General features: G+C 42.2%; 1 protein-coding gene across 27 annotated transcripts in view, besides 1 other annotated feature; it reads right to left on the minus strand.

The window, feature by feature from the left end:
• ARHGEF9 (Cdc42 guanine nucleotide exchange factor 9) overlaps positions 1 to 14,009 on the minus strand; it is a 150,248-nt gene that overhangs the window by 80,170 nt on the left and 56,069 nt on the right. For 20 of the 27 annotated variants that reach the window (NM_001353922.2, NM_001353921.2, NM_001369043.1 and 17 more), the window contains one exon: positions 9,396 to 9,575. The exons of 6 other annotated variants lie outside the window; for them this stretch is intronic. In NM_001353922.2, coding sequence (NP_001340851.1) covers positions 9,396 to 9,575 — 180 coding nt within the window. Of the gene's footprint in view, positions 1 to 7,625; positions 7,762 to 9,395; positions 9,576 to 14,009 lie in introns of all 27 variants that reach the window. One more of the 27 variants, NM_001369042.1, reaches the window with a different exon arrangement.
• Positions 3,060 to 3,109: a silencer, noted in NCBI's record as "silent region_20875". NCBI's record gives its function as "represses an Ori minimal core promoter by ATAC-STARR-seq in GM12878 lymphoblastoid cells {active_cell/tissue: GM12878}" and the evidence as "EXISTENCE:reporter gene assay evidence [ECO:0000049][PMID:35858748]".

Below are 14,009 nucleotides of genomic sequence, written 5' to 3' on the forward strand. Positions count from 1 at the left end.
AAGTCTTCTCCTTTCATTGGTTTTCATGGAATTATCCTGCTTAGACGTTGATAGAATTTAGGTTAATTAGTTAAGTAGCCAAAAAAGGAGTGCTCTGCCAGGACCTTTAGAAGTTCATTTATTCTGTATTTCCTTTGATTTTCTTTCTATTTGAGCTAAAATGAAGAGAAGACTTCCATTTAAGCTATTCAGATATGGAAGTACCGATTTCATGATGAAAGCCACGCTAAGCAGAATGCTGAAATCAAGCTGACCTGAGTTACCCATCTCACAGAAAGCTTGCAATTATTTGACAGACATTTAGAAAAGAAAAAAAAAAAACACTTCAGGATGGTGATGTGGCAAACACTGGCTTTGGAGTTGGAATGTGATCTTGTTTGGGCTATGCCATTTACTAACAAGTTAAAGGCAAGTCTGGCAGGGTCTCATTTACTTTCTGATCCTCCAGGATAGTACCAATGCCTTAGATGACACCTGTTCCCTATTGAGGCTTTTCCCGCAACATCTGTCTTATGTTTTTTACTCCTTTTAGCCTGTATCCAGGCTGATGTAGTCTCCTATAGCTACTGAAGTCATATGCCTCTTCCTGACCTCAGTTCCTATGAATTTAATCCCTTCCCTAACTATCCTGTATTTTCTACCTGCTAACATTTGTACAAAACATTATACCATCTACAGACTGAGAGGAGAGAGGAGTGAGGAATGAGTGTGAATGGGTATGGAGTTCTTTTTGTGGTGATAAAAAAGTTCTGGAATGAGATAGTGGTGATGGTTGTACAACATTGCAAATGCATTGAATTGTATACTTTAAAATGATTGAAATGGGGAAGGTGATGTTATGTTTATTTTACCTCAACTAAAACAAGATTAGCCAGGGTGGTGGCTCACACCTATAATCCCAGCACTTTGGGAGGCTGAAGCAGGTGGATTGCTTGAGTCTAGGAGTTCAAGACCAGTCTGGGCAACATGGTGAAATCCTGCATCTACAAAAAATACAAAAAATTAGCTGGGTGTGGTGGCAGGTGCCTGTAGTCCCAGCTACTCAGGAGGCTGAGGTGGCAGGACTGCCTGGGCCCAAGAGTTTGGGGCTACAGCGAGCCATGATCACACCACTACACTTCCAGCCAGGGCAAAAGCATAAGATCCTGTCTCAAAGAAAAAAAAAAAAAGAAGAAGAAATTATGGAGAATGGGCTAGAAAAGTTCTTGGAGTATATCTGTTCCAACCCCTCCATCTTTCAGGGGAGAAAAGTGAGATTTGGCAAAGGTAAAGAACTTGACTAAAGTGACAGAGCTTTGGCAAATCACCTCCCTTATGCATAAGTTTTCACATCTACTATCAGACTCTTAGAGGATGGGCTGAAGTTCTAGAGTACCTCTGTATCTTCTCAGTAGCCATTTGATGATCATCTGTTGGGTGAATGAATTTTTATTAAGTCCTTCATTCTACAAATTAAGAAACCATTTTCACTGCATACTCCCTGCCTCTGGATACCTGGTCACCATGCTTTACCTGCTTATTGAAGCACACTAAACAACCTGACGTTGGACCAATAATACCAGTCACTTGTCATGACAACAAACCACCCTCTGTCTGCTGCCTACTGATGCTACACTCTACCTACTGGGCTGGACTTTCTCCCAATATTTTCAGTTGGGAGGGACCTTACCCACTGCGCACACACTCTCAGCCTATCCCAACCCACAAGGGAAAGTGAACCTCTAGGACCTGCCCCAAATTCAAGTTCATCTGGCTGCACTGTTTTTCAGGGCTACTGCTGGCCCTGTCCCGTATATAGCATCTTTATTAAATGTACGCTTAACAGTAAGCTATGCTTACTTTATATAAATATGGGAATGAGTCCATCGCACACATGGCACATGGCATTCAGGGCCAAGCTCTACTGAGCAGCAATGTCAATAACTGTACTACCTTAATAAGCTTATCAAAACAAAGAGTTGGACCAATGGGCAGAATGTTCAGGTCTATTATTATGGCTTTTTTCCCCAGTATATTTTAAAAAGAAGTTTTTCAATCCATTCTTGGGTTCCTACATATAACACAATGTTCCACCATTTATTTGTTCCTAAATGGAAGCTAACTGCTGATGTATGGCCCCAGTAACATTATTATGCCTCTTGGTAGAGGTCAGAACAGCCAAGAAAGAACATTGTCCAATTACATGTTCAGCAGGGTCATTAGTTGTAATATCATTCCTATTAGTCTTGAAAGCCTGGCAGTGTCAGCATGTCCAGGCCTCCATGTAGCCCATGTTCTCATACAAGTGGCTGAATGGAGTGGGCCTTGCATGCCCGGATGGCCTCAGTCTAGCCACTCACACATAGCAGCAACAAGAAACTGATTCATCCAAATAATGGCTAAAAGGTGAAAGCTCAGAAGCCTGGAGGACAGGAGAGGCTTGGCTGACCTGGTCTGAGGTTTCAGATCTCTGATGGGCTATAGACAGAGTGGAGAGTCAGTATATTCCAAGAGGGTTTGAGAGAGGAGCAGGGAAAAATGAGGACATTATTTCTACCATTTACATTAAGAGTTTGCTGCAAGTATTACCAGTATTATTATTGAGTGTTTCCTATGTGTCAGATCCCATTGTCAGTGCTCTTCCTGTATTTTGTTTAGTTCTCCTGACAACTTAATGAGATAGGTGTTGTTATATCCTCAATTTAATGATGAGATCACTGAAGCATACAATGGCCACTTTGCTAATAAATGGAAAGGCTCTGATTCTAATCCAGAAAGATTATCTCCAGAGCCAGTTCTCTTGGACATTTACACCCTTCCCATGAGTAGAAGCTCCAGAAAGACAGATTCTAGTTCAACTTAAGGACAAACTATTTCAGATCTGTCCTGAGGTATAACTGGTGGCCTGAAGAGGTATGGAGCTGTCAGTTTTCACTTCTGAAAACTAAAAAAAGAGACCAACCCACTTCTGAGTATTGTTTCTCTAGTGACCCTCTAATATAGAGGACAACAGACCTCTCAAGATGCCAGATACCCTTAGTACTTGTCTAGACCACTCCAGGAGGTGGCTGTTGCTAAGTGCTAGACAGTCACTTTTGTTCAGGACTTAGTAAATACTGGTGAGAAGATATTAATAGCACTAGAGCCATGTAAAGATAAGTGGTTTCACTCTTACTCATAATGATAAATATACTGATGAAAAAAGAAAATATATATATACAAGTATGATGATTTTCCAAAAATGTTGTACTTTACAAAGAGCCACAGAAACAGACCTCATCTCCAGGTACTCAGTCATGGTCCTCCTCTCCTCAAGTCATCACACCACCAAGGCAGTATATACACGATGCTAGGAAGGTCTAAGCTAATCCCCAAATAAACCCGGGGGTTGATTACACAGAGAAAAACAGGTGCCAGGCCCAAGATCATAGCCTCAACTCAGGCAGCCAACCAGGTTACAAATCCATGCTATGGGTCAACAATAGGGCCTTGGAAAGCCCCAGAGCCAAGAAAACCATTCAGAATGTCTCCTACTGGTGTCAACTCTTAAATACCATCTTCCTATTGAAAAAAGCAACATGTTTCAAGAAATTGGCTCAGACTACAGCATAAGGGCTAGTAGCTGGAAATAACAGAGTAGTTCAAGCTTGGTTTACAGATGCTGGCCAGGTTCTCAAAAGCCCAGGGTAATTTTAGCTCTGGTCCTGCCTGGAGGCTGAGGGATAGGCTATATGACTCTCAAGGTTGCTTTCAACTTGGGATTTCTATGAGGGTGACCTGTGCTACCTAATTTGGAGGAATCATCTGGGTGATGTAACAGCTACATTTAAGATTCTCTCTGAGCTGAAGAGGTCTCCATATTAAAAGAAAAAAATAAAAAACCTCCAATTAGCCAAATGATGTACTAGATGATGTAATCCAAAAAATGTGCATAGTGAGAAGCCATTAAGATGGATTATGTGAATGCAAATGAGTTATAATAATGTCATTTGAAATTCTAGTACAGGGGAGAGAAATAGCCATAATCCAGGGAGAAAGACTCTCCCTGTTAATGTCAGCCTAAACTCACAACCTATAATGTGTTACCTCTAGGGCCACAAGCAAGACCTTCTACATAAATGATATAAATGTTTAAGACTAGAGACTTATGAACACTTTGAAGCTTGAATGGATAAACAAGGGTTGGTATAGTGAAACTCCTCTCAAGAACGCAAAAACACTATTGCCTTTAGTCTGGAATGGAAGGTAAGTCCTCAAGTGTTAACAGTCTTGTTAGCAGCCCAAGCCTGCCCTTTCTTGATTATGCTATAGGCCAGAAAGCACAGGATTAAGATTCAGAAGGGGACAACATCACTAAAAGTGGTGGAGCAGGGCACACAAAGAATCAGTTCTTCCACTGAAACAACCTTAAACTGGCAATGAATGACAGAACACATTGTTTTGGAACTCTAGAATCTAATCCAAAACTTGCAGCAACTTACAGGGGACTGTGTAATGCAGAAAAGGGCAGCAAAAATTTGGTAAGAGAGCATTGAAGCACTTTTGCTTATCCTCTTACCATTCCCCATTCCCCAGTGGCTGAGGTGACAGTGGCCCACATTCCTGGTGTGGCTTGCTGGTGCCAGGAGATAATGACCTTGTTCTTTACAATATTGTAGCTGTGCATTTTGACCTTTTTGGCACTGAGGGACTAGCACAGAGGTTGACCTCTGGCTGGAGAGGCTTTCCAGGCTGTGGCTGCCTTTGTTGAAAGATTTAAAGACATACACTGCTCATGCCCACTTGGGACAAGGGATTGTGGACAGGACAAATAGCAAACACATGCAATAGCACAGGAAGGAGGAAGCTAAAAAGGAAGTTTCTTTGGGGAATAAGGATTCATAAGGGCCACCATGCATACCAGGGAAGTCACACTATAACACGCATGCCCAGGACCAGATGCATGCTCAGAAAAAAACCTCAGAGGACCATAGGCTTATATTTCTGGAGGATGTGTGATCTACATACAAACAGGAGGAGAAGGCTGAGACAGAAGAGTTGATGACCTGGCACAGTCTCAAGTGGGTACTCCAGCTCAGAGTCAAGCTACAAAAACCAGGAAAGTAGTATTGTTTGTTTCTTCTTGGATCCAGATGTTTAAAGAAATGTCAGGTTATTGGCTGACCAATGAGATAAAAGAACAGAGACTTCAGTGACCATATATAACAAGAATACGGTCTTGCAAAAATAGTTGGAAAAAGTCACTAAACAAATGGACAACCACAGCCCTCAACAATCAACAGTAGAAAACCCTGGGGAGAGAAGAAAATCTGATTTCTAGAGTTACCACATTATAATATTGAAAATGCCAAGTTTTCAACAAAAAATTGCAAGGCCTACAAGAAAACAGGAACATGTGACCTATTCACAGGAAAAAAATAATTTGGCAGAAAACATACCAAAGGAAGCCAAGACATTAAACTTATTAGACAAAGACTGTCTAGTAAAATTGTCTTAAGATTCAGGAGGCCTGGGTTCAAGTCCTGGCTTTGCCACTAATTCCCTACATGAGAAAGCAAGTCATTTCCATTTTCTGGGCCCATGTTGCCTCAGTATTTATACAACGTGGAGGTAGGGTGACCAATGGCAACAAGCTGGGTCCTTGGGAGATAATTTATCCTACAGATGTGTTTTGTTTGACTCTCACTGTGCTTCTTTAAAAATATGAATTCCTCATTAACATTTTTTTAAATATAAAGAGTTTTACATAAAAATCCAATTCCCGGCTTTTCTTGAAATACTAGAAGATCTGGCCCCTCTGGGCTTTCCTCTCCACTATATCCCACTCTAATGATGGGAACCATCCAAGTCACTTTTGCTGTCTTTAGATGGGGCATGGATCTCCCAGTTGGACACAGGTGCCCACTTACCCCTTGTCTCAATTTGTTTCACTCACTTAATTGGCCCCTGTAAGCATCTAAGTTGGCCACTCTTGGCTAAGATGGTTATTTTCAGTTCTAAATCTACAGTGAATCTAGGGTTTCATAGAGGTGAAAAGCTTTTCCCAAGTATCTCTTTTTGCAGCCAAAAAGAGATAATACATAAATAAAAGCCAGGTCACACTCTGGAACAATGGGCTTTCCTTTGAAAAGGAAAAGTTGGGTTTCCATGACATCTGGTCTGTAGAAAGCCAAGAAATGATGGTAATGATTGGCTTAGGTGATCCTTTCATCTCCATACTTCCAAGCAGGCCAGAAACCAGAGAAATAAAGAATTTGAAAGAACAAGAAAAGTATATATCCAGCTCCTGATGACACCTCAGCAAGCTCTTTACTTTCTGACCAAACCCATGCCTTGTCACACGAGCCTCACCTCCCATCAGTAACAGGTTGTCATGTGTCCTGTCCACAACCTACCCTTAATTAGGCAGCAAGCTCTCCTCAGGCCATGGCCCAAAGTCAGAAAAAAAAGGTTCATTTTGTGCACAGTGACAAAGGAAAAGAGCCTGAATGACTTGAAGTTAGGGTCTATTAGACAAAAGGAGGCCCACCACAGAGGTGGGATTTGCTACTTAGAGACACAATCATATCCTAGCAGTCTACCCTTAGCTCCTAGCAGGGAAACCAGCCCAGGAAAACAGCTGACGATGTCGACAACTAGATATGAGGACTGATGTTCAGCAAGTTTAATTCATTTAACCTTACCAACTACTGGGAAGGTATATCAGCTCCTACATTGCTCTTGTGAAGCCATATCCCCAGTACAGAAAGGAAAGAACCTGAGAACACACACACACACATATACACACACATAAGCACATACAAGTATGAAATTCTGAACAACAGAGGAGACAGGTGTGAATAGGTCAAGACACATATACCTGGTAAGTTCCTGTACAGTGGCTAAATGGTATTATAATTCCTCTTTACAAGTATCCAGCATATCACAGGTAACAAAGCATTTTTACAAGACTGAATTGTCCCCATTTTACAAGGAAGAAAACTGATATTTGAAGATGCATAGGAAGCTGCTCAAGTTGCATTTCTAATAATAGAACTGAGGCAAGCATCTGGGTTTCCCAGACTGCAGGTTGGGTTTTAATGTGTAACAACAGGTAGGGCTAACTTGAACAGAACCACACTAACCACCCTTGATTATCCATCCTAGGGTTCAAATGTCAGCAATGAGACTTCCAGGTAGGGAATGAAGATACCTCACCATGTCAGTTACCAATTTAGTCAAATGATCTTATTTTACTAGCCTGGAGGCTGGGTGTTAGTGTTTTTGTTTGTTTGGGTTCTTCTTGTTGTTTTTTGTTTTTTTTTTTTTTTTGTGCTACTGAAGTGATTCTGTTGTATAGCCAGGGTTGAGAACCACTTGAGCTAGACTCTGGCTGCTGGGGCTTTGTTCCTGTAGGAACACTCCTCCCGGCCTTGGACTTAGGGGCATTAATGGCTGCCCACTGATATTCTGAAGTCTGGCTCTGTCATTTGCTTCCCTGAGCCATCCTGGCTTGCTCAATCATTTCCCCCCATCCTTGGATTTACTATTTATTATAAAAGTAACATTTCCTTGAAAATGAAATGCATTTGGATTTGGGTGACATCATCATTTGGTACAGTTTAATCCTTCTTTTAAAGAGGGAGGTCTGTAAGCACAAGACATACCAGCTGTATGCGTACAGGGCCTCACATTAGTCCTGAAGGTCTGTGGTTATTGATACGCTTTTTCTGACTATCCCTGGGACTGATTCTTTAACCAGCAAAGATGAGATGGGACACAGATGGCATTTGCAGACTCTGACTGAAGAGAAGAAAAGATTGGATATTTCATTAGAAGATTCTCATGATAGAAGGGAATGAGAGGTAATTTTGTCCATTCCTCTGCTTCTAGGCAGTGCCCTCACCTAAACTGTCCCAACCAGGTAACAATACTTTCTGGATTTTTTACCTTGAGGAAGGAGGCCTCTATCAACCTCAAGGGAAGCCTTGATACATGGACCTTCTTGGAGCTAAAAAGGTAGTGGTGATGATTATAATTATGATGATAATCATAAAATAAGTTACCATTTGCTAAGTTCCTAATATCTGTCTAGCACTGTGCTAGACACCTTATTGGCATGTATGATCTAATTCCTTATAAAAAGTCTGTTATCCCTATTTTTCAGATGAGGAAATCAGGGCTCAGGGAAGTTAAAAATCTTACCAAAAGCTATAGAGCTAGAAGGTAGTAAAACTGTATCTAGAGTTTTCTAACTCCAAATGCCCTGTTCCTTTCTTTATATCACATTGCCATAATTCTAATATTGGGGCCCTTCAACCTCTAGGAGCCCTAGCTAGCCCTTCTGACCTTTTGTTTGGGGTCTAGAAGACTTCAGCCTAATTTTACAGGAGAAACTAACAAAACGTGATAGGCTGTCGTAAGGATAGTTATAAGACACCCTCATGTAGCTTCAGTACTTGTCTTGCCACAAAGCAGTTTTCGCATGTTTTATCTCATTCACTGTGACATGCCCTGGCATTAAAGAACTGTCAAGACCATTGTGCAGATGAGGAAAATCAGAGCTCAAAATAGTCAAATAGCTGATTCCAGCTCACAATTCCAAGAAAAAATAAGAGCTGAGACACCTAACCAATGTTATTCTCCCATAGCACCCTGAGGTCATAAGCACATTGGGATCACTTCCTTTACAGTGACCCAGAAAAAGCAAAAACTGCTGAGAAATTCCTCCCAAGAGCCTCTCTGTTAAGGGCCAGGTTCTTCATGGTACAATGTCAAAGAGGCAGAAGGCTTGCAAGACCTTACATGCCACTTGCTTCCCACCCCCAGCACATTTAGATCCCAGCCACTTGATTCTCTTGAAAAAAGTAAAATTTGATATCAGTAAGCTCTAGCGCCTGGGGGGCAGGGAGCTCACACTCTTATATTAACATCTGAATACACAGTGACAACACACAGGGGTGTGAGAGGCAAAGAAGTAGACAGGAAGGAGAGAAGAGCAGAGGAGCAAGAGGAGGAGATGGGAAGAAACTACGAGAAGAAAGAATAAAAAAAAGATGAGAAATAGAAAGCAGAAAAAAGAGAGATAAGAAAGACAAAAGTTCACAGCAATATAGGGTTAAAAAGTCTTATTCAAAAACCACCAAGGCCAACCCCAAAAGAGGAAACCAAGACCCAGACAAGGTAAGTGATTTGTACAAAGGTGGGAGGTGGTGGGGCGGGGGTGTTAAACAAGAGACAAATGAAAAGTCTAAAAATTAAAAGGGCACAGATTAAAGGAAGCCCAGGTTCTCTGTATGAGACAATTTTAAAAAAAGGAAAAAAATATGAGAAAAGCCACCAGGAGAGAAATAAACAGGAGAACAGAGGCTGGTGAAGGGGAAGCCAGGTACAGGCAGCCAAGGAAATAGGAGAGGAGAGTGAAGACTGACACTCACCCTCACAAAGCTGGCAGGAAACCATCCCTCCTCATCGTCGATCTGGCCCCACCACCAATCCTTGTTGGAAGCATCCAAGACTTTGATGACGTCGCCAGCTTTAAATGCCAACTCCCGGTTGGCCATGGTGACGTGATCCCATACTGCCTCAGCACTAACGATGGAATCTCCAGTGATCAGCTTAGGAGACAAAATGAGAATGTGTTCAGTCCACACAGCTACCTTGCTTGCCCCTTCCCCCACCCACAGAGCTCTACTACTTACAGAGAAACTCATATACTCAAGTGGTGAGAGATAGGGGTGAGGGGGATGGCACTGGAACAAAAGTTCCATTAGACCGCAAGACAAACAATACTGTCAACTCTCTGTTAGCCAGTGCATGGAATGACCCAGAATATGAATATGTACTACATATGCCTCATGCTTTTTATCCCTAATCATGAACTTCTCCTGTGCAGAACAAAGAAAGCTCCAGTCCATCTCTCCTTGGTGCTTCAAGGCAGCTCTAGGTCAGGAATGGGTGGAGAGGCTGACAGCAATGGCTAAAATGAGACTCAAGCTTATTTGCTTTCAATTCCCTGTGCTCCTCCCCCTTTCCTCCTCCTCCTTGGAACTGACCAATTGAGAGTTGGTGGTACATTATTTAACCCCACCGTGACCCTCCTCCTGGGGTAACAGACCATAACATTCCTCACGCATAATGGACCCCAGTCCTGCAGCCTCCTCCTCTCACTCACACATGATGCCATCCAGAGAGGTCATGGGTAGGAAAGAATATGGCTTTCTGTGATGCCTTGTACCCAAGAAACTCAACTTTAGCACACATTCTCTCAGTGATTTGTACAACCATCCTGTGAGATACAGTAGGGGGAGAGGTCTGGGTTGAATTCTGCATTTGATGGATGGCAAAACTGAACAAGCAAGTGATGAGCTGGAGATCAGCTGGCAAGGCAGGACCTGTGCATGGAATGCACGCTAACCCTGCTCACTAGACTTCACGGCTAGCAGGACTGGGCTCCACACAAGAGCAGGCAGACATCTATTCCACTGCCATACCAGCAAACAGACATTCATGAAACTCATCTAAGCACGGTGATAGGGATGGGGTGGGGGTGGGGAGGTAGTCTGCCTCTCTTTACCATCCTGCTCACTGTGTTATTTGTTCTTTTTCCCTCAACTGTTCCAGCTTGTATGGGCCATCAGTCTTCTCAGCATTTGGGGTAACAGATTCCAGAATAGAGAACACATGGCCTATCAGGCAAAGAGACTCAAGCACTCTCTCCCAAGCATTGAATTTCTGAACAAGTCCTCTAGAAGTCAGCTTTTCCATCAGCCTACTTTGCTCAAGGCAATAATGGCTCCATAAGACCAAAACTAAAACAACTTTAAGACAATAGAAATAGTCTATAGAATATACATCCTGTCTCATATATCTACCCTCCAACATGCTAGCCACAGAATAACCCTAGGTTCTCAAAATAAATGCACAACACATACGAACACATATATATGAACACACACACACATACACACATGCTGATCTTTGACTTAAGTTAACATGTTTTGTTCAGGTCCTGCCAGATGCATCTGTCATGGCTCAGGATTCATCTTTGTGCCTTCCACAGAAGGTAAGGCATAGGGTGAGCTCTTCAGGATAGATAAAAAATAAATTTCCAGCAGGACCTTTCACAACACCACCTTTCAAATACCTCATGCTTTACGCTTTGCTAAGTGTTTTCACATCTACTACATCACTTGATCCTTACGGAATCAACTGGGCCTCACTATTACCATTCATTCATTCATTCATTCATTTTTATTTTTTGGGACGGAATCTCTCTCTGTTGCCCAGGTTGGAGTGCAGTGGCGCAGTCTTGGCTCACTGCAACCTCCACCTCCTGGGTTCAAGCGATTCTGGTGTCTCGGCCTCCCAAGTAGCTGGGACTACAGGCGCACGCCACCATGCCCAGCTAATTTTTGTATTTTTAGTAGAGATGGGGGTTTTTCCATGTTGGCCAGGGTGGTCTCAAACTCCTGACCTCAAGTGATCTGCCCACCTCAGCCTCCCAAAGTGCTAGGATTACAGGTGTGAGCAACTGCACCTGGCCATTTACCTATATTTTAAAGATGAGGAAACTGAGGCTCAGAAAGGTGACCTAGTCCTTCAGCCAATAACACAAGTAATACATTATGAAGCTGGGTCTTCTAACTTTGTGTGCTCTTACAATTATCAAACTGTACTACCAATGTCTACTCATTATCTATACTGAACTCCATCTATGATATCATAAGCCAGTTGGCTCCTATTCTTAAAGAACCCTACAGGAGATGTACACAGCCACCTTTAATCATAGGTGCCCCTGATGCTGAGGACATTCATTTTTATGTTGAACTTGCTTTCTTCCAATTGTACTAAAAGTCAATTTCTCCTTGTTTTGGCCTCAGTGAAGAAAAAGAAAAGCTGGTCACTGGCTTACTAAAGTAAATTTTTATAGAGAAGTCTCCCCTCTCCTGGAAAAGATGGGTCCCAAGTGGGCATTGTTAGAACTCAGTAAGCACATACAGCCCCAACCCAGAGCACCATTAAGACCTGTAGTTTAAAGCTATATCCATAGCTTTTTATCAAGGGTCAAAGAGTATCTCAGTATCAATTACCAACCTTCTGCTCAGGACACTATCTGTGGTGCTCTTTGAGGTCTCCCAGGCCCAGATCTGGCTGATTCCACTGTCTATACTTTTTTACTTTGCAGTCTTCTTTTCAGGAACTCCATGCCTGGCTTTTCCCAGAAGCAGATCGCTGACTTTTGTCCCCCATTTAGTCCAGCTGATATACCTGGGCCCTCAGGTCACAAGGCTCAGCTATACCCTGGACAAAGCCAATCTAGGACCTAGTGGTCACAAAAACAACTAACCAACTTGCAAGCCTGTTGTCAGGGCCTACTTAGAATCAATGACTGTCAGAATTGGACAGAATTTTAAAGATCATCACCTTCATGCCCTCATTTTATAGATGAGGTTTAACAAAAGTAACTTGCCTACAGTCATCAAATGGTCAGCCTTCTGGACTAGTGTTTTTTCTAACATAACACCACAGAGAGGGAATACAGGTAGAAAAAATAATCTGAATTTAAGACCTTGTTATACTACTAGCTAAAGGTGTAATGATAATTATGATGATGTTAGCTAATAAAGAGCGCTATTATGTCAGGCACTATTCTAAACACGTTATATACATTAATTCATTCAAGCCTCACAGCAGCCCTTTAAGGAAAAACTATTACTATTCATATCTTACAGATGAGGTAGCTGAAGCTCAAAGAAGTTAAATAATTTGCAGTTCACACAGCCAATAACTACTGAAGCCATTATTCCAGTAGAGGCACAGTCTGGCTCTAGAGACTCTGCTCTTAACTTATAAACTATTCTGCCTCTGGGTCCCAGTTTCTTCACCTATAAAATGGGGATAATTCTACTCTACCATCTGCTTTGTAGGGTATAAAACACTGAACTGAGAGCTGACAGGTATGTGCATGGAGGTGAGAGGAACGCTAATCCAGAAGGCGTTAACAGCTGTGTGGGGCTTCTGTGTTCTCTCCTCACAAACACAAGCCGGAGCAAAGGGATGTTCCTCCCTCATCTTCTGAGTTGTTTTGAAAATGTAAACTAAACTTAACCTGGAAATTGGTTCCAAATCTTCCATTTGTGTACAGAATTAACTTTTAACTTGCTACAATTTTTGTTAAAATGCACTTTGCTCTGCTCATCCATCTTCCATCCAACATTCATTCATTGAGCTCCTACTGTGTGCAGGGATCTGCTCACTGTGACTCAGCTGCAGTCCTTACCTGAAGAACAAAGGGTTTCCAGGTACCAACAATGCATATCTTTCCAGCAGGACGCAAAGGTGGTTTTATGGGCACGCATACCTACCTTCGATTCTGGGCTTTACTACTTTAGAAAGTAGCAATGACAATAGGAGGTGAGGAATAGAAGAGGAGTCAGAAACACAAACTTAAATGTAATTGTCAGCATGTAATTATGACATCTAGGAGTATAATTTCACAAAAGCCAAAGAGTTTCTAACTATACAACCTTGGGTCTCAGTTTTTTCATCTGCAAAATGGGGGTAATAATGTTTGCCTCACAGGCAGGGTTATAGAGAGGGTGAACTCAGATGGTGGATATACAGTGCCTGGCATGTGCTGGCCTAGTACAAGACTTCAGAGAAAGGAGGTTGATTACACATGGGTATTGGGCTATAGAAAGGTTTTGTGTGGCAATGAAGATAGCCCTTAAAGGATGGGTAGGATGGTACCAGATACAGGAGGAAAGGGAGGGGCATTTGAAGCAGAGAAATGAGATTAAGCCAAGTCTCAGAGAAGAAGACTGGGAAATGTGATGGTGAACAAGTAGTGGAGTTTGGAGAGGTTAGGGTTGGGAAAGGGGAGTGGAGGGAGTGATGGCTAAAAAGGTGAGTGAAGTCATGTTTGAAGGACCTTGAATCTAGTCTGAGGAAAAGAAAAAGGTCAAAGTTAATTTTTGGGTGCAAACGTCAATTAAAGCATAGGACAAATTAGGAGGAAATATTGGCTTGGCTTTGCAAAAGAAGTGATG

This window comes from Homo sapiens, chromosome X, assembly GCF_000001405.40.
Source record: "Homo sapiens chromosome X, GRCh38.p14 Primary Assembly".
In the NCBI taxonomy this organism is placed as follows: domain Eukaryota; kingdom Metazoa; phylum Chordata; class Mammalia; order Primates; family Hominidae; genus Homo; species Homo sapiens.